Below are 20,292 nucleotides of genomic sequence, written 5' to 3'. Positions count from 1 at the left end.
CCTTCTTGCCAGGCATTGAATAAGGTACTTTTGTATCATATCCTGATGGCAACCCTATCAGGCACACAAGAGCCCCATTTTATAGGAGAGATGAAGAAACTGAGACCCGAGGAGTGAATGCTTCCTCAGGTCATATGGGTGGTAAGAGGCAGAGGTGGGATTTGAACCCAGGTCTGTGTGATTCCAAAGCTCAGGGGCCTGATGGGTCAGTATCCACCTTAACCCAATGCAAAAAGCAGTGGGCACATGAGGTGGAGGAAGCAGGAAGGTTCTTGAAGCTTCTCTAAGGAGGAAGCATTAATCTGAGCCTAATTAAGGATAAGGGGGCTTTTAGAGGATGGAGAAGCCCCCCTCATGTAGGGTCTTCAGGGTCTTTAAGGAAGTGATACCGGGCAGGTGCAGTGGCTTACCCCTGTAATCCCAGCACTTTGGGAGGCCATGGCCAGATAATGGCTTGAGCTCAGGAGTTTGAGACCAGCCTGGGCAACGTAGGGAGACCCCATCTCTACAATTAAAAAAAAATAGCCGGTCATGGTGGTATGTGCCTGTAGTCCCAGCTACTCAGGAGGATCACATGAGCCCAGGAGGCCTAGGCTACAGTGAGCTGTGTCTGTGCCACTGTGTGCCAGCCTAGGCAACAGAACGAGACCCTGTCTTAAAAAAAAAAAAAAAGAAGTGACACCCACATGGAGGACAAGCGTTGTCCTTTGGAAGAGGCTGGGCCCCGCTAGACAGAATGAGGGGGTGCTGAGGCCTGGGCCACTTCTACCAAGTGAAGGTCATTAGATTCCCTCCAAAGTCCCAAACCCCTAAGAGCTCCCAGGATGTTCCAGCAGCAGAAAATGTAGATGTCCTGCTTAATGAAGCCTCCTGCTGCTGTGGGCCACGCCTGAGGTCATGAGAAATCCTAAGGGTCATTAACCTCACACCATTTGCTCAAGTGCTGGCTGTGTTCCTTGCTGGGTGACTGACGAGGCCATCAGCTCCCAGAATGGCTTTGGTCCTCCCCACACCCCCGAACCTCCTGCCATAACTCTCAGCTGCATGTGGGGACCCACCACCACCGTGACCTGCCCTCTTACGTCTCCAACTTCTGGCAAATGCAGCACCCGCTTTTAGTGACGGGTAAGAAAGATTTCAGGAATCATTGCTTGGCACCCAGAGACATAAATAACAATGAGGGGAACTATATTTAGTGAGGCCTCCGCTGCTCCTAAAGAGGGGCGCTGTAATTTAAGAAGTCTCGGTTTGTGTACAGCTGTCAGCACATTTTCTGAATCTCCTGGATGCACTGAGCTGCCCCAACTGCTCCTCCTGCCCTCACCTGGCTCCTCCCTGGCTGTGTCTTTCTTACCTGGCAGGGGAGTGCATCTCACCGGCACTGGGCAGTGTCATGAACAAATCTGAGGAGTGGAAAGACTCATTCTCTCTTTCTCTCTCTCATTCTAAGCGAGCAGGCACTGGCCTACCAGGGATGATGATGAGCTGCAGAGAGGGACTGTCTCCCTCTTAGACCAGGGTTGCAAGTCCTGCCACAGGGAAGTCCTGCTTTACTGCTTTCATGAATTCATGATGGAGCACTTAAAGTGCTTCCCATTGCTCTTAAAATCCCAGCTCCCTGCTGTGGCCACACATCACCTGCCTTCTCTACCTCACCTAGAGCCACCTTTCCCTCACAGTGCCCCCCACCCCTGCCCGTGCCTTGACTCTACCAAGCCTTTCCCCACCCCGGGACATCTGCCCGGGCCCTTTCTTCTTCCTAGAAAGCACTTCTTACCTCCCGCTCTTCCCATGGCCATCTCCTTCTCATTCTTCGGTTCTCAGTGTCCGGGTCACCTTCTCAGAGCGACCTCTCTGGCCTCCCAATTGAAAGGAAGTCCCTCTCATTGTTTTCTATCAAGCTCTTGTTTACACCTCCATACCCTTACTGCAACTTATAATTATATACTTACTTGTTAATTTATTCACTCATTCAGCAAATATTTATTGAGCATCTACTATATGCCAGACACTGTTCGAGGCGCTGGGGATATAACAGTGAATAAAACAGAGCCCCTGCCCTCATGGAGCTGACATTCTAGTAAGAATCCCAGACAGTAAACAAAAGGATGAAAGTAGGCAATATAGTGGTTACATCGTATTAGATAGAATAAGCGCTTTAAAGAAAAAAATAAAGCCAGAGGATGGGGGAGAGAGCTTGGAAAGGGTAATCCAAGAAGACTCTAAGGATGTAGTGTTTGAGCAGAGGAATAAAGGCCTTGCTTTGCTTACTGTCTCACTTTGCTGCTAGGCTGTGAGTTCCAGGACAGGACCATGGTGCTTTTATTCCCCACTCAATCCCCAGTGACTGGCACATAGCAATCAAGTCTTGTTGAGTGAATGAACAAATGACCCACCAAGCTGACCTCCTACTGCTGCAGCAGAAGTGTCGTTCCTTGGCTTCATCCTGGCAGATCCCAGGAGCATCCAGTCCCATCCTTTGATAATAACTCTCAATAGACAGGAATACCATTTGTCACTCACTCTCAGGCCTCCTCTCTCCAGGGAAACCAGGGGTCATTGTCCAGCAGTGATGGATAGAGTGTCCTCTGACTGGCAGACCCAGCTGGGAGCTCCTCTCAAAGTCCCTCCCCTGCCTGGGGACAAATGGACCATGACACAAATAACATAAATAGCAAGACAGAGTTGAGGAAGTCCCCAATCCCAAAGCGACGTGCTTCCCACCGATAGGTGGGGCCCATGTGAAGTGACTCCACTGGGGAAGTGGCGCCATGGAGAATGCTGGGTGGACCTGGGGTCTCAACTCTCCAACTCACCAGACCAATGGCCTTGGGCAAGCTGCTTTACTTCTCTGGGCCCCAGGCTATCCATCTGACCAGTGGGAATGCCAGTGTTTGCTCTGGTCAGCATAGAGGTGCTGTGGAAGCTCAAAAGTATGCTAGATGGTGCCTCACGCCTGTAATCCCAGCACTCTGGGAGGCTGAGGTGGGCAGATCACTGGAGGTTAGGAGTTTGAGACCAGCCTGGTCAGCATGATGAAACCCTGTCTCTACGAAAAATACAAAAATTAGCTGGGTGTGATGGCTCACGCCTGTAATCCCAGCTACTTAGGAGGCTGAAGCAGGAGAATCACTTGAACCCGGGAGGCAGAGGTTGCAATGAGTCAAGATCGCACCACTGCACTCCAGCCTGGGCGACAGAGTGAGACTCCATCTGAGATTAAAAAAAAAAAAAAAAGTGTGCTAGAGATAAACAGGGCTATTTCAAATAGCAAGTTTCCCACAGTATTTAAAGGGCAAGTTCATTGCACAAGAACTTGGAAGAAGGGCTACATAAAGTGAGGCAAATGCTCATTTGCTGTATTGGTTTGGAAATTCTATTTCTGCCTATCATTCAATGGCAGCTGTGAGCAGAGGTGCCCAACACTCATTTGCACCCCACAATTTGCTTTCCCCCTTTGGACGTGCTCTTCTCATCCCTGCCCTACGGATTTCCCCAGGTGACTCTGAGAGATGGAAGGCATGTCAAGGAGCATCCAGTGCTAGTGTCTTTATTTTACAATGGAAAAACTAAACGCCAAAGAGGGGATGTGTCTTCCCTGAGGCCACCCCGAAAGTCAGCAGAGGGACCTGGACTAGGACCCCAGTGTCCACAGCTCCCAGATGGGGTGAGAGGCAGGGAGGGTGGAGGCTTCCCCAGGACTCTGGTGACATCTGGATGCTCTCCTTAGGCAGGTCCCTTACCTCTCTGTGCCTCAGTTTGCTCATCTATAAATGGAGATGATGGAAGGGTACAGTAAGATACTACTTGTAAAGCACTCAGACAGTGCTTCACATATAGTAGGGCGCATTGTGTGTTTGCTGCCACTGCCCTGGACGTCCTGAATACAGCCAGCAGGCGCCAACCCACCAGGCAGCTGGTGGGCACCCTGCTCTGCCAGTAAGGAAGTCATTTGAATATCATCCTTGGTTATATTTATCATCCCCAAGTGCCTCATCCCTTAAGTAGCACAGCAGCCTCTGGGAATCTGCAGGACTTCCTGAAGGACACAGAAAGGACAGGAATCTTGCCTAGCTGGAGTAAAACCACCTGCAAACCTGTCTTGATGGGCTCTTCAGCTCTCCTCTGACCTGCGCCTAGCCCAGTGCTCTTCAGAGTGTGCTCTCTAGACATGCAGTCTAGGGGCTGTTACTGGCCAATGATGAAATAAGTAAGAAATTGAGAGTAAACGTTTAGCAACCTTTATGGTAATTTTGACATTGCTGTCACAGCCACGCACATGGTTGGAGGGTTCCTCTCATTGAGCAGAGTATAGACAAACTTGGGTGTTGTCAGATGTTCATGATGAGTCCCAGGTGGTATGAACATCACAGGAGTCATGCTCAGTGAGGACCATATGATGGATTAGAAAACAAACAAAACAAGACACTTGGTCTTTCCCCATGGAGAGTTTGGGAAGTAGTGGTCTAGCCTTTCCAGGCCCTCTGCAGCCTACCCAGGCTGTGTACCCGCCTTTCCAGGCTGCCCTGCCAGCCCTGCACGCCCCCTCCCTGTGCTCTTACCGGCCCCTCCACTCAGACTGTCTTCCCTTGTGTTCCCACCCATCAGAATCCCGTTCCTCCTTCAAGATCCCAGATCAAATCCCACTCATTACACAAGGCCATCCTAGGTAGATTAACCCCTTCCCCACCACACCCAAGCTCCCAATGCACTTTGACCTCTAGCAAGCCCAGCCTTCAGCATCTCATGTGACCTCTAGCTGCTGCACTTAAGCCCCACCCAGTCTGGACCCTACATCCAATCAGTTCTTAGTAGACCTAGGCCAAAGCAACTCCAAGCACCAGGAGCACCAGTTGGCTCCAGATGTTGCCTTTGCCAAAATGAAAGGTGGCACAACTGTGAATTCCTTTGGCTGAAACAGTGGTGGTGTGAATGCTGCTGGACGATCAGCAGAGCCAGTGAACCTGCTGGTGGGAACAGCCTCCTGCCAGGCCTTTGGGGTGCAGCATCAACTCCCAGGATGAACAGCCCAGAGGGCAGATCCCAGGTCCCTCCTGCCCCTGGCCCACGGCCCCCTTCTGGCTGACTCTCGGCTGCCCAGGTCCAAATCACCCTAACTTGCTTCACCTCTCCCTGGTGCCTGTGAACCCACAGATAAGCTGCTGGAGTCGCTTCAACACAACTCCTCTCTCACTCCTCTTTCCCACCCGGTGAAAAAGGCCCCCAGCTCCAGCATGAATAGGGCAACAGGTGAGGCAGGCCTTCATTCCAAAATGCTCCGTGGGCCCACCAGGGAGCCGGGCCTCTGCACAGCCTCCACTTCCACTGCTCCTGTCTCTGCTTCCTGCTTATTCTTAGTGGGGGTGTGGCCCACAGTACCAGGCAGAAAGTCCCTTAGGAACAGTACCAGTCTGACTGCCTCCCCACAAGCATCCTTCTCAGTGCCAGGCCCTGAAGTGGCTGCTCAGTGAGTGGGTGATGGAAAAGAAAGAACTTCCAGTGAGAACTTCCTCAGTGAGACCTAGGGAAGAACTTTCTGAGTGTGAGAGGAATTAAACACAGACGTTTAAAGGCAGAAATTAGGTTTTTGCACACCCTCCCCGCTTTTAGCTGCTTAGTGCTTTGTCCCTGTGTGAGGATCCAGGTCGAAAACACAGCAGCTCTGGAGCCCTGGAAATGGGAGGTCCGGGGCCCCTGTCACAGCCCAACCCCGCTCCAGGCAGAGAACTCCTCTGAACTCCATGGGCACAGCTTGGCACACAGTCATCTGGCCTGATCCTGTTTTTTGCCAAGGGGGACACTGACGTCTGGAAGGGTGGTGCCTTGCCCACAGCCCGTGAGAGAGATAGAGAGAGGCTCCCTCCTCCAGACCAGACCTCATGGTGGGAAGGGGAATGATGGGGAAATGGTCATGTCTGGAGTTCACTCCTCAGAGGAAATGGGCTTGGACCCCACAACTTCCAGTGCCGTTGCCCACTCCGACTGTGAATTCATTTCCCTCAGAGCCTACATGGCTGGGAAAGCATCACCAAATTCCCCTTGATCCCTACCCTCTCCCTCCCCTACCCGCCCCCACACAGCCTGAGACTTGCTCAGGGACCCCAAAAGGCAAGTGAGGGGGCCACGTCGGGGAGGGTGCAGGACCAACAAGGCTAGCCCGGTGTCTCTGCCAGCTGCCTTTGAAAGGCTCTTCCAAAGAGGTAATTCCTTTGTGCACAGACATGATTTATGAGGCTTTCCAGGCAAATTGTGGAGATAAATGGTCTTTGGGGCTGGGAAGCTTCAAAGGCAGTGATGCAAACAGATCAGAAGCTGCTGGGCCGCTGGGAGCTGGGCCTTCATTAAAAGCCTGTGGGTGGAGGGGAGGGCTTTGAGCAGAGCTAAGGACAGATAGCTTTCTGGGTCCCTGGGTCCCTGTGGGACAGCCCACTGCAGTTTGCCTCTCACCCCGAGCCTCATAGACCTCATTGCTGTATGGTATAAGGTGAAAGTGCTGGGGTCACTGAGGTACCTTTATCTGCTGGGATAAATGCCACAGGACAGAGGTTGGGGGTGGTGCATGAGTGCTGACTTGGACTCTAGAACAGCAGGGAGGACAGTGCGGGGTGCTCCTGCCGGGAGCGCAGGTAGGTGGCATCAGCCTCCGTGATCAGCACCGTCTGGAGACCTGGCAGGAGTTCCGGGAGTCTTGCTCCTCTCCTGCCTCTCATGGGTGATCTGGCTCTCTGGGTGTCAATACCTTCTTCTGAACAAAGTATAAAAGAACTCCAATGTTCCAGCTCTGCGGTGCCTCCTGGGTCCTCAATGTCCTCATCTCAGAAACAGGCCAGAGATCACCCTCGCTGTGAAGTTGTGGGCAAGCCACCTGGCCACACCTGCCCTTGGTTCCTTCCTCTGTGAAGGGGGATAACTATAGCTATCCTGAGCAGTTGTGGCTTAAATTGAACAAGATCATACCTGCAAAGTCTCTCACACTTACTGTTCCTTCCCATTATCTGTCCACACAATACTGTGGCATTCTACATCCAGAGCAGATGCTGATTTAAAAAAAAAAAAAAAGTCCCCGATAAAGTCCCTGATAAAGTCCCCGAAGTTGATAAATTTGACTTTCCCATCTTCCCACCTCCTCTCTCCTAAAGCAGGTCAATAAACATACACATACCCTGCTGAATCTGGCTTCCAGATCTGCTAATTGCCACTTGGATATTAAGAGATAACTGAGATATTAATGGCTGATAGTGCCTCAGGATGTGACTAACCCCCCCCCCCACACACACACACAGAGGCACAAACGGGGTTGTTTGCATTTTAATAGGGATTCCTGCAGCCCTTGAGGAACGGGGTCCTAATGGTGCAGTGCCAAGCAGGTGCAGTGATATTTCAAGCAGGGGCTCAGTGTTGGTTTCAATTCAGCCATCTGCAGAGAGATGCCCGGCTCTGATAAAACTGCTCCTGAATCTCCCCACTCACTCCTGAAATGTTGATGGTGATACTCCTGGTTGAAATGGACCTGGCTGCCTGGAGCTGTGGTGGAAGCTACGGCAATAGAGATGAGGAAGGTAATGAGCTGGAGCAACTGCCTTTGCTCAGGGCATTGAATGTACCCATGGCCTTTGTTCCCCCTCCTGCCCTGCTGCCCGAGACACTGCCCGCTCCCGGGCCTCCTTGTCTCTAGCCTGACAGTGGAGCACCCTCCCCAGTTTTAGCAGACAGCTTGCCCAGAGCTCCTCTCATCACCCCGTGTTCTGACAGTTTCCCATTTGCTTGTCTGTTTCTCAAACTGACTGCAGGCTTCTGAGCCCCTAACATGATAGGTGCTTGATAATTGTTTGACATTGAGCCTCTCATCTCGTAATAGCTGGTGTGATGGGAGGCAAAGAGCCCTAGATGGATACAGTCAGCTAGTTTCAAATGCAGCTCTCCAGTTTGTTAGCTGTGTGGTCACGGGCAAGTCATTCAGCTTCTCTGGCCCAGTTTCCTGACCTGTAAAATGTGGAGTGTACACAAGATGACTTCTAAAGCCTAGCAGTAAAGAAAGCCAATATATGACTCTCAACTTCACCTTTCACAATCAGGTGATGTTACCCACTGCCAGGGGATGTTTGTCAATATCTGGAGGCACTTTTGATTGCCACAATTGTGTGTATGTGTGTCGGGGAGGTACTACTGGCATCTCGTGGGTAGAGGCCAGGGATGCCACTAAATGCCCTGCAATGCACAGGATGGTTCCCCATAGCAAAGAATTTTCTGGCCCAAAATGTGCTGAGGTTGAGAAGCCCTGATTTAGTTATTTAATGCCTCTGAACCTCAGTTTTCTCATTGGAAAATGGAATCATAATCACATCTCACATGGTTTACCTCAGATCCTCTTTGGAATGAGGCAGGGTATGAATAACTGGCACAGGATTAGTAAGAAAATTAGAGGAAACAACCCATGGGAGAATGCAGCTGGTCCCTGGTAAGCTCTCGGGGTTAGGGTTTTCCCCACGTGCGTGTGCTCACTCCTCCATCCCTGCTACCCTAGGAGATGGGTGGGATATGCAGCCGCAGCCTCTGTGAATCCCAGCCTCCCCTTGGAGGTTTAAGGGAGGTATAGACGGTGTGGTTAAGTAACACCGAGTAACAAGTGTAATAAATAGATCACTAAGAGCTAATGATACATCATTATAATCCTGTGCTGTCAGCATCTTCTAGGCTTAGGGACTGTGTCAAGAGATTTGGGTTTTAATCTACCTTGGTCTATTAATATTTAATTCCAACAATCTAAGTGGCAGAAAGATAGGAAACTGAGTGATAGCTCAGCTCAGAGCTCGGGTAACCACCTCCAATTTTTCTTTTTCATACAAACACACCTCCTATCCCTGTGTCCTCTGGCCTGTTTCTCAAGTGGGGACATTTGGCAACAGGGCAGAGAATCACACAGCATTGGGACTTGAAGAGTCTCCAGCATTTACCTACCAGTGTTTGTTTGTTTCTTTCTTTTTCTTTCTTTCTTTCTTTCTTTCTTCCTTCCTTTCTTTCTTTCTCTTCCTTTCTTCCTTTCTTCCCTTTCTTCCCTTCCCTTCCTTCTTTTTTCTTTTCCTTTCTCTTTTTTTCTTTTCTTTTTTTTCTTTTCTTTTCTTTTCTTTCTTTCTTTCCTTTCTTCCCTTGCTTGCTTGTTTGCTTGCTTTTGGACAGGGTCTCACCATGTTACCAAGGTTGGAGTACAGTGGCGCCATCACAGCTCACTGCAGCCCGACCTCTCAGGCCCAAGCAATTCTCCCACCTCAGCCTCCTGAGTAGTTGGGACTACAGGCACATGCCGCCACACCAAGCTAATTTTTATAATTTTTGTAGAGATGGGGTTTTGCCACGTTGCCCAGGCTGGTCTTGAACTCCTGGACTCAAGCTACCCTTCTGCCTCAGCCTTTCAAAGTGTTGGGATTACAGGTGTGAGCCACCGCATCTGGCCCAGTATTTCTGAATGGGGACATCTTTGGCATTTTTTATTTGTATTTTATTTATCTTATTTTTAGAGACAGAGTCTCTGTTGCACAGCTGGAGAGCAGTGGTACAGTCATAGCTCACTGCAGCCTCGACCTCCTGGGCTCAAGTGATCCTCTTACCTCAGCCTCCCAAGTAGCTGGGACTACAGGTGTGCACCACCACAGCTGGATAATTTTAGCTTTTGGTAGATAATTTTAGCTTTTGGTAGAGACAGGGTCTCACTGTGTTGTCCAGGCTGGTCTCAAGTGTCTAATCTCAGTGATCCTCCTTCCTCGGCCTCCCAAAGTTTTGGGATTACAGGTACGAGCCATTGCACACAGCCAGGATACAGTTCTAAATTGTGTACAATTGTCCCTGGGATTATTTGTGACAACCTAAATTCCCCCCTCCCATTTCCAGATGCTGTCTTGGGGAGGGTGACCTACTCCAGGCAAGAACCACTGATCCAAACCTGTTTTACAGATGTAAAAACAGAGGCCCAAAGAGGGAAGGAGGCTGCCCAGGAGTACCCAGCATTGGCTCTGACCCATCCTTCAGTGCTCCCTCAGAATTGCAGCTTAGGCCTGGAAAGAGCAAGGGGCTCAGCCTCGGAGAACTTGACTTTGCTTTTACTGGGGCAAGTCAGTTGACAAATGGCCTCACTCACTGGGAAGTCACTTTATTTATCAGCTGGAATGGTTTCCGGCGGCTGCTGCTCCATCTCTGCCTCCCTGCCTACTGCTTTGTAAACTCAGGAGCAATCCCGTGACCTGTCAGCTCTCGCTGCTGCTTCTGTGGGTGGGGTGGAAGATTGGGGGCCACAGACCTTTCTGGGAGGGGCTGTGACTGCATCAGGCCTTCCCATTGCTGGAGAGGAGAAGGGAGGTGGGGGCCTTGGCCCAGTCCTTAGTACAAGCTGGGGTAGCTCAGGGGCAGTGGCTTCCAGGTTCATTTCCATCCCTTGACCTTCAATTCAGAGGCCAACTCCTCCTGCTTGCTGGGTCTCAGGATTCCTGTCTATGGAATGGGAAGGACTAACCTTCTCTCCCACCCCACCTCCAGCCCAGCATCCTCCTGCACATCTCCCTGAGAGGACCAGTGAGAACAGAGATCATGGGAAAAAAGAGTTCTCACCTGGGGAGCTTTTCAAGGGACCTATGCTTGGGCCCTACCACCCTAGACCAATTCATTTGGAATGGCCATGGGTAGATCTCAAGCAAGAGTGTTTCTTAAAACTGCCCCAGTGATGCTGATCTGCAGCCAGGCCAAGAACCACTGTCTGAAGAAGTGAATCCTACAAGCAGCTGGGAGGGGGTTCTTTGGTAGCTGGGAGAAGGGCTGGCCAGTCACCTTCAACAGCACTGCTGACAGCTCTTCTTGTGCCCCGCTGAGCTGGCTGCAGGGTGGGACCAGATGGTGGATGTGGGGAAAGTAAAGGGCAATCACAAACTAAGGACACACCTTAGCTCCTGTCTTCCTCCAGCCCAGAGAGACTCCAGGGCTAATGCAGCAGACTGGGCACAGGCACCTAAACCTTCCTATACAGTAGTGAAGGCAGAAAAGTAATGGTCGGCCGCATTATTTATTATTCCTAGTACAGTCCATAACGGCATCAAAACATATTTAGTTGTGTCCCTTTAATGAATTGTCTTCAGGGACTCTAAAAGATACTTATATCCCAGTGTTCACTGTTGTCTTCTAGACAATAACCAAAAGGTGGAACAACTCAGTGTCATCAACAGACGAATGGATAAACAAAATGTAGTCTGTCCATACAATTGAATAGTATTCTGTCATAAAAAGGAATGAAGTCCTGATACAGGCTACAACATGGATGAACCTTGAAAATGTTATGCAAAGTGAAATAAGCCAGATACAAAAGACTGATATTGTATGATTCCATTTAGAATCTAGAAATATCTAAACAGGCAAATTCATAAAGACAGAGGGCAGGTGCAGTGGCTCATGTCTGTAATCCCAGCACTTTGGGAGGCCGAGGCAGGTAGATCGATGAGCCCAGGAGTTCAAGACCAGCCTGGCCAACATGGTGAAATCCCATCCCTACAAAAAAATAGGAAAATTAGCTGAGTGTAATGATGCACGCCTGTAGTCCCAGCTACTCAGGTGGCTGAGGCAGAAGAATCACTTGAACCTGGGACACAGAAGTTGCAGTGAGCAGATATCGCACCACTGCACTCCAGCCTGGGGGACAGAGCGAGACTCCATCAAAAAAAAAAAAAAAAAAAGACCGGGTACTGTGGCTCATGCCTGTAATCCCAACACTTTGGGAGGCCAAGGTGGGCAGATCACGAGGTCAGGAGATCGAAACCATCCTGGCTAACACAGTGAAACCCCATCTGTACTAAAAATACAAAAATTAGCCAGGCATGGTGGCGCATGCCTATAATCCCAGCTACTCAGGAGGCTGAGGCAGGAGAATCCTTTGAACCCAGGAGGTGGAGGTTGCAGTGAGCCAAGATCGCACCACTGCACTCCAGCCTGGGTGACAGAGTAAGACTCTGTCAAAAAAATAAAAATAATAAAATAGAAAGAAAGAAGCTTAAAGGTTACCAGTGTGGTAGGGGAGGAACTAGGGAGTTACTGCTTAATGGCTACAGAGTTTTTATATTTGGGGTGATGGAAAAGTTTGGAAATAGTGCTGATAGTTGGTGCAACACTGTGAATGTAATTAATGCCACTGAATTACACACTTAAAAATGATTAAAATGGAAATTTGTATGCTATATATCTTTTACCACAATAGAAAAAAAATCTGAGTAAACAATAGATAATCTTAAGAGAATAAAATTTTGGGAAATAGGGCCAGTCGTGGAAAACCTAGGACCTACGCCCACCATTCACACATAAACCAGTCCCTGAATAAGGCACTTGTGGAAAATCAGTCTCTGCTCTCACCTCTTTATGGATTTTCAAGGGTGGCTGTTTAAGCCCAGGCTGGCTGCCAGCATACCGTGTCCATCTGCAGCAAGTGCTATTATTATAGGTTGTTGTGAGAATTAAATGAGAAAATTCACTTTGCACCTTTATCTCATGACTTGGCATTAGTAACTGCCTGATCAACTGTAGTTACAAATTTAAAAGCCTGTCGGTGAAGAAGACGGTGGTGAAGCCATTTGCCCTCTTGGGGACCCAGGGGCACACTAAGCCTGGACCCCAAAGTCTGAAGCAGTCAGCAGGGGAAGGGGGTGAGTTGCCCAGCCTCGAGGAACAGAACAAGCCGGGCCACACACTTCCAGGTGCCCTTCAGCCCCCAGTAGCTGCCCAGAGACAATCTAGCCACTTAAAAAATCAGCCAGTAATCCCAGCTACTCAGGAGGCTGAAGCACAAGAATTGTTTGAACCCAGGAGACAGAGGTTGCAGTGAGCCGAGTTTGCACCACTGCACTCCAGCCTAGGCAACAGAGTTGAGACTCTGTCTCAAAAAAAAAAAAAAAAAAAAAGGAAAAATCAGCCAAAGCCCAATATAATTAGGAAGGAAAGCCTGGGACAGAAAAAAAGAAATGTGTGAGGGGTGACATTCCAAGGCCAAATTGGTAAGAGTTTGCGATTCTCTGTGAAAGAATGCAAAGTCTTCTTGTAATTATAATGATGGTAGTTTTTAGTCACCTTCAGCAGAGTTGATAATTGACTCGCTGCAGCTCTGCCTCATTTCTCTGTCATTGCTGGAGAATGAGGTGTTTTAAGTGAATTTTCTAGATAACTGAAGCTTATCCCTGTGAACCCTAACATTGTTTTTTTTTGTTTAATCACTCTGGTGGGAAATTTCTCTGGAATGAATTACACACTTCTCTGCTTCCTTAATCAGAATATTCTAAATTGAATGTCACTTCTTCCTGTCAATTTGGATATGAGAGGCTATTTGCCCCTATATTAATGGCTGCAAGTTGCTTTGCTTTTTTTCATCTATAAATGTTTCCTATTTCCATAGTTTCTTACTATGACACAGAGCTCTTGCTCACATACTTTTTAGGAGCCCCATAAAACATGCAGACATTGTCCTGAGCCACAATCTCAGCACTTTGGGAGGCTGAGGCAGGTAGATTACCTGAGATCAGGAGTTCGAGACCAGCCTGGCCAACATGATGAAACCCTGTCTCTACTAAAAGTACGAAAAATTAGCTGGGCATGGTGGTGGGTGCCTGTGATCCCAGCTACTCGGGAGGCTGAGGCAGGAGAATCGCTTGAACCCGGGAAGTGGAGGTTGCAGTGAGCTGAGATCGTGCCACTGCACTCCAGCCTGGGCAACAAGAACAAAACTCTGTCTCAAAAAAAAAAAAAAATGCAGACACAAACATACACATGTGCATATACACACACACTCACATGCCAGTCTGTGTTGTGAGAAAGCAGAGTGCCAGGCTTAATAGAATTGTGTTTACATGTCCTTCTATAATCCCCTGAGCTGCCCTTATTAGAGCACTTTCGTAGGGTACCATGAATGCTGCTCCAGCATTTCTGCCCCTACTAGACTGTGCACCCCAATAGGGCAGGGTGCTTTCTGGCAGTAGCAGGTCCTTGGTAAATGTTTTTGAATGGACAAGCAGAAGAATGAAAACACCCAAGTGTTACCATGTGGACTTTATGACAATATTCTGGCTTCCTTATCAGGCGGCTAGTTTTGCTTCCTACTGGGTTTTGGCTGTGCCAGAAAGAACAGAGGTTGTTTGATAAGCAAAGCATAACTGTATGCCCTGCGATGCACCGAGAACAAACTGCCTTTTGGCTCCAACAGTTTCATACAGAACCAAGGTCTCAGGGCAGTAACTGCAGCCCCAACAAACGAAGGAAATTCCTTGTGCTGGATCCTGTGGTGGTTCACAGTGACGAACAGAGAAGAAGTGGCTAGTCTCTGTGGTATCCCTGATCTGTGCTTCGTGGCTGCCACCTTGTCCCCAAGGCCACCTCTAAACTTCACTCCTTGGACTCATCCTCCAGAAAGTGTCCCAAAGACCTGCAGTGGGGAGAGCTAGAACCAGGAGAGCTGGGCTTGCTCTTGCTGTAACCTCAGGTAATCACTTAACTTCTCTGACCGTGTATTCTCCGTCAAATGGGAAAATAAGAAAACCTAACTTACATGGTTGTTGTGAGGATTAAATTTTAGTCATGTATGTAGCACTTCTAGGATGGTGCCTGGCACACAGGCAGCTTTTAAAATGTGGCTGTCTGGCCGGGCGTGGTGGCTCACACTTGTAATCCCAGCACTTTGGGAGACTGAGGCAGGTGGATCACCTGAGGTCAAGAGTTTGAGACCAACCCGGCCAACATGGTGAAACCCCATCTCTACTAAAAATACAAAAATTAGCCAGGCGTGGTGGCAGGCGCCTGTAATCCCAGCTACTCGGGAGGCTGAGGCAGGAGAATTGCTTGAACCCGGGAGACAGAGGTTGCAGTGAGCCGAGATCACACCACTGTACTCCATCCTGCCTAATAGAGCGAGACTCTGTCTCAAAATAAATAAATAAATAAATAAATAAGTAAAATGTGGTTGTCATTATCATAATAGTCACAACATATGGACAATAAGCTATGTGAATTCAACTACGTGTGCTTGGCAACTAAAAGAGAAATGGTACCATAGATAATTCTGCTAGTCCTTCTGCTCACTGAGTGTGTGTCCCAAAGAGAGGATGAGGTAGGAGGTGCTGGACTGCTGGATACTCAGTCACTCTCTGTCCTGTGAGCCTTTTTTTTTTTTTTTTTTTTTTTTTGACACGGAGTCTTGCTCTATCGCCCAGGCTAGAGTGCAGTGGTGCAATCTCAGCTCACTGCAACCTCTGCCTCCCGGGTTCAAGCAATTCTCTTGACTCAGCCTCCCAAGTAGCTGGGACTACAGGCGCATGCTGCCACGCCAGTCTAATTTTTTGTATTTTAGTAGAGATGAGGTTTCACCGTGTTGCCCAGGCTGTTCTTGAACTCTTGAGCTCAAGCAATCCACCCACCTTGGCCTCCCAAAGTGCTAGGATTACAGGTATGAGCCACGGTGTCCAGCCTTCTGTGAGCCTTTTTCAATGTGAGTGGAGGCTGTAGCATAAATGGATTTAATTTTTGCTTTACTCACTGTAATAGCAGGTGGAAAATATAGGGTGAGACTCACTCATAACTTGGCAGTTCAGTTTGTGTGTGTGTGAATACTTGGGGCACAGATGAAGAAGGGATGAACCAAGATAGGGTAATGGGAGTTCCAGGCCTTGGTGATTCTGTCTGCTACAGGATGATAGGCAGGCTCCATGACATTGACCGCTTGACCTTGGTCAGCAGGTAGGAGGGACATGTCGGGGACTGGTGGGGCTGATCCTTCCACCAACCTTCAGCCCCCAAAGATCACATGCACTTACTGGCCACACTGGAACCTTGTACCCTTGTACACGCCCAACACTTGAACGCCACTGTATCTTTGCTTATATTGAGTCTACCCCAGTGACACCTTCCCAGTCCCACTCACCTGCCCCCTTTCCTCTCTGAGTGTCTAAACCCTAGAAACCTGGAGCACAAACAGCAACAGATAATCTCGGTGACCGGCCACTCCAGTTTGCCCAGGACTGAGGGATTTCCCAGAATGTGGAACTTTCAGTGCTGAAAGCAAGATGGTTGCTCACCCTATTAGCCAGACAAGTGAGACATCCTTTACAGCCCACTTGAGATGGCTTCTGTTTTAAGAAGCCTTGCCTGGTCTCCTTAGCTGGGAGCAATCATTCTTTCCATCCAACTTCTCCCAGAACATTATGTGTGCCTGTCCATGCCTGAACTCCACACCCTACTTTCACCCCAGAATTTGAGCGAATGAGGCTATAACTGAGGACATCTTGTTATTGTGTGTCCCATATGCATCGGGGAGGGTCAGAGTGGGAGGTGGCAGCAGGCTTGGTGACCTCTCTGGGGCTCTGCTACTCAGCCCCTTTCCATAGCCGTAGAGTGTGAATTTCTGCAACACTGGCTCAGCTATCTCTCTTTGAAACATTTAATTACATGTAAAGATCTTGAAGGCTGCCTGTTACTTCCCAGGGAAGCCTTTCTTTTTCCTGCTCCTTCTGAAGCTGGCTGCTTGGAAAGTAATGAAACTGAACTGAAGCTGAAGCAACCAGGGGGCGTAGGCATTACTGAAAGGAAGAAGCATGAGGAAGAGATGAAAAGGGTGACAGGGAGATGGAGCCAGGGGAGGGGCAGGGAGTTAGAGGAAATATTCCCAGAGAGTGAGTGAAATGCAAATGGTGAGAAAACCAATGCGTGTGGGGAAGAGGGAGAAGCGGGCAGGAAAGATAGAGAAATGGGAGCTGGAATGGGCTGGGTCCCGCAGGTCCCAAGAAGAGAGGGGTAGGGTCACAGAGGAGAGGGGTGGCAGATGGGAAAAGAAAGGGCCCGGCAGAAAGGAACAGAAACAGGCAGCCAACCAAGAGCTTAGCAAAGAGGGATGTAAACAGCTTGTGGCTCCGGAATTTCAATACAGGAGAGGGGGGCTTAGGGCAGCCATTTGGTTGGAAGAGAATGGCCGGACCAGGAGGTAGGTTCTGAAGCTGCCTTGAGGAAACAAACGCTCTGCCCTTCTTAGCCTGTGCGACTATTTGCATGGCTTGGTGGAAGAACTGATGCAGGTTATGAGGCACCAAAGCTTCCAGGCACCCCTTGCTGCCACCTGTCCGGGGAGCAGCGCTGCAAAGATGGGAAGGCCGCATGGGCATCGGTTCCTGGCCCCTGCCCCAAGGAGAGCCTTCGGGGCTCCTGATCCCTGACTGTCCCGTCTCTTGCAGGCTGCGACAGCGACCACTGGGGGCCCCACTGCAGCAACCGGTGCCAGTGCCAGAACGGCGCCCTGTGTAACCCCATCACAGGCGCCTGCGTGTGCGCCGCCGGCTTCCGTGGATGGCGCTGCGAGGAGCTCTGCGCACCTGGCACCCACGGCAAGGGATGCCAGCTGCCGTGCCAGTGCCGACACGGTGCCAGCTGCGACCCCCGCGCCGGCGAGTGCCTCTGCGCACCTGGCTACACCGGCGTCTAGTGAGTCATGCGGCAGGACCTGGAGGGGCGGGACCTGGAGGGGCGGGACCTGGAGGGTGCCTGGGTGGGGAGGGTAGAGGAGGTGGAGGGGCTGGGGCGGGGCCTGGAGTGGCTGCCCTCACCGCAGCTGCACGCCCAGCCCTGGGCTCCTTGTGGGTGGGCTGGGTGGTGGGACCAGGAGGGATAGTCTTGGCTGTGAAATCTCCTGTGAGTCTAAATGCCCAGGCCTCACCCACGCAGGTCTCAGATTCCTTCCTTCCAGGACCGCGTTGACTGGTCCTTCCTGAGACTGCCCGAGTGGGCACTCCCTAAAACCCTCCCAGGAGGCCCTTCCTGGCAGAGACAGCCCTTATCTTGAAAGTCTCTTCTGACCTTACCCAAATGATGCTGCTCACCTGGGGCCTTCCCTTCTAGGGCATTTGGGACAGAGAGAGGTGAGGGTCCTAGGCAGATACCATGTACAGATTTGGGAGGATTACTCTGCCTGTTCCTCTCCCCTACTTTCTCTCCCCAGACACCAAACAGCCCCTCATTCCAGTTCCCCAGAGAGTAGTATTGACAGGAGACCTACAAGACTGCTTAGCTGAGACCCCCTCAGAGGCAAGATTGAAGTTCTCCTCCCAACCCTGTAGCAGACTCTGTGGCCTCTCCAACAGCCTAGATCCTGAGGGGTGGCCAAGGACTCTGACCACAGAGACGTTGTTGATTGAGGGTGTTCCCTACCCCGATGTCTGGCCAGCTCCCAAGTCCTAGTGAGCTAGAGGCCAGGGCCATTGGATGAAGGCCCAAGACCAAGACCCCATGCAAATCCTGCCCCACCCTTCAACAGCACCCAGTCCCTGCAAATGAGCCTGTCATGGGAGCTGGGAGCCTTCCTGAGCCTGGAAGGAACGTGCTCCAGATTCTTCCCCTCTCTGAATCTAGGTGGATTCTTAAAGATGGGATCCATGAGCACTTCTCAGTGCCTTCATTAATGCAATGACTTTGGCCTGGCATGCCCTTCCTTCCATTCTCCTGGTTAAATTAACTTCACCTTTAAGGCCCAAGTAAAATGCCTTCCTCCTTGGGAAGCCTTCCTCAGCCTCCTCCCCAGAATACTCTTCTGTACACTAAGAACACTTAAGTCATCCCACAAGTATTGGCCCAAGCACCCTACATTCCAATGTATTCAGTCTGAGCCTTGCTTCCCCCTCCTGGCAGGGAGCAGGACTGCAGTTCAGCGGATGCTGTGCCTAATACAGATCCATTAACTGCGGAGGAATTCCTAGGGAACCCTGGAGCACTGGGGCCCTGCCACCTGATCTGAATGCTGCTGTGTCTAACACCTCTGCTTCTCCATGCAGCTGCGAGGAGCTGTGCCCTCCTGGGAGCCATGGAGCTCACTGTGAGCTGCGCTGCCCCTGTCAGAATGGGGGCACCTGCCACCACATCACTGGCGAGTGTGCCTGCCCCCCAGGCTGGACGGTAAGTGGGCCCAAAGGATCTGGGTGGGGCACTGGAGGGCTGAGCCTTCATCACTCACACATACCTTAAAAGGCTAAACTAGCCGGGCATGGTACTCGTGACTGTAATCCCAGCACTTTGGGAGGCCGAGGCCCGCAGATCACTTGAGGTCAGGAGTTTGAGACCAGCCTGGCCAACATGGCGAAACCCCATCTCTACTAAAAATACAAAAATTAGCCAGGCGTTGTGTCATACGTCTGTAATCTCAGCTACTCGGGAGGCTGAGGCACAAGAATAACTTGAACCAGGGGGCAGAGGTCACAGCCAAGATCAATTTGCTGCACTCCAGCCTGGGCAACAGAGTGAGACTCTGTCTCACAAAAAAAAAAAAAAAAAAAAAAAAGCTGAATTCTTCTCCCACTCTGAATACCCTCCCTCCTATTTATCGCCATAGGGCATCACTAAACGCTGCCAGTGGTGCCATGGACACAGCTTTGAATCCCAGGTCTGCCATCTCTAAGTGCTGTGTGGTCTGAAGCAAGTTACTCACCTCTCTGAGCCTGTGGTCTCTCGTGTGCAAAGAAATTGAATTCTTCTTGTAAGATTAGCTTTGTCTTTGGGTGTGAGCACCCACATGAGCTGCCACAGGCCCTGGGCCAGAGGTGGCAGAAAAGGCTGGGAAAGGAGGAGAAACAGCAGGTATGGATGACCTGAATTTATCTAACTTCGCCCCCTGCACTTGCACACACACACACATTCTGATTCTGTGGGCCCCAGAATCTGTATTTTAACAGGTACTATAGGTGATTCTGATGTAGCCTGAAGCAGCCCAGGTCTCATGTCTGGGAAAAACCACTGTGGGAAAGGAGGGTAAGATTTGTAACCTCATGGGCCTAAATTCAGGTCTCAAAGCCAATGTTGACCCTGAAAAAAGCCTCAATTACTCCCCTTCCCCCAAGTACAAAACTGATATAACAACAGTGAGCCCTGCCCTGCCCAGCTGCCATGGTTGGAGGCTGGCTCATGTGAGGCTGTGCATGTCCAAAGTCTTTTGCAAACTCTGAAGCCCTCTATGATAGCTTGATTTCTATCCCTGGGTGCCACAGACCCTCCACAAGCCTCCTTTTAGCCAACATACCCTGCCTGTCAGTGCCTGCCTCGCAGACCAAGCCCTTACAGGCAGTGAGTCAGCTGAAGCTGACCTTCCTGGGCTGCGTCCCTGCCTCTGACTCTCCAGTAACACGCTCCGTTTCAGGGGAAGCTCAGCGACACAGTCCACCACCTCCCCTGGGGCCTGAGGCTTTGCAAAGCCAGAGAGGAAAGGGCTGCTGAGCAGAAGCAGGATATTTTAGGAGGCTGCGAATGCAGAGG

General features: G+C 50.3%; 1 protein-coding gene across 23 annotated transcripts in view, besides 3 other annotated features; it reads left to right on the top strand.

Annotated features, from left to right (window-relative positions):
- The window catches only part of MEGF11 (multiple EGF like domains 11), a 358,452-nt gene that overhangs the window by 254,031 nt on the left and 84,129 nt on the right, over positions 1-20,292 (top strand). For all 23 annotated transcript variants that reach the window (NR_169555.1, NR_169554.1, NR_169558.1 and 20 more), the window contains 2 exons: positions 17,232-17,478; positions 18,822-18,942. Coding sequence is in view for 18 of the 23 variants with exons in the window: in NM_001385030.1 (NP_001371959.1) it covers positions 17,232-17,478; positions 18,822-18,942 (368 nt within the window). In the remaining 5 variants the exon portion in view is untranslated. The remainder of the gene's footprint in view (positions 1-17,231; positions 17,479-18,821; positions 18,943-20,292) is intronic.
- Positions 17,118-17,618: an enhancer, noted in NCBI's record as "H3K4me1 hESC enhancer chr15:66274440-66274940 (GRCh37/hg19 assembly coordinates)". NCBI's record gives its function as "activates a minimal SCP1, AML or CMV promoter by ChIP-STARR-seq in naive H9 embryonic stem cells {active_cell/tissue: H9 hESC(naive)}" and the evidence as "EXISTENCE:reporter gene assay evidence [ECO:0000049][PMID:30033119]".
- Positions 18,409-18,909: an enhancer, noted in NCBI's record as "H3K4me1 hESC enhancer chr15:66273149-66273649 (GRCh37/hg19 assembly coordinates)". NCBI's record gives its function as "activates a minimal SCP1, AML or CMV promoter by ChIP-STARR-seq in naive H9 embryonic stem cells {active_cell/tissue: H9 hESC(naive)}" and the evidence as "EXISTENCE:reporter gene assay evidence [ECO:0000049][PMID:30033119]".
- Positions 18,910-19,410: an enhancer, noted in NCBI's record as "H3K4me1 hESC enhancer chr15:66272648-66273148 (GRCh37/hg19 assembly coordinates)". NCBI's record gives its function as "activates a minimal SCP1, AML or CMV promoter by ChIP-STARR-seq in naive H9 embryonic stem cells {active_cell/tissue: H9 hESC(naive)}" and the evidence as "EXISTENCE:reporter gene assay evidence [ECO:0000049][PMID:30033119]".

This window comes from Homo sapiens, chromosome 15 (genome assembly GCF_000001405.40).
Source record: "Homo sapiens chromosome 15, GRCh38.p14 Primary Assembly".
NCBI classification, from domain to species: Eukaryota; Metazoa; Chordata; class Mammalia; order Primates; family Hominidae; genus Homo; species Homo sapiens.
The sequence above is the reverse complement of the archived record's forward strand: the minus strand, read 5'-3'. Positions and strand labels throughout refer to the sequence as shown.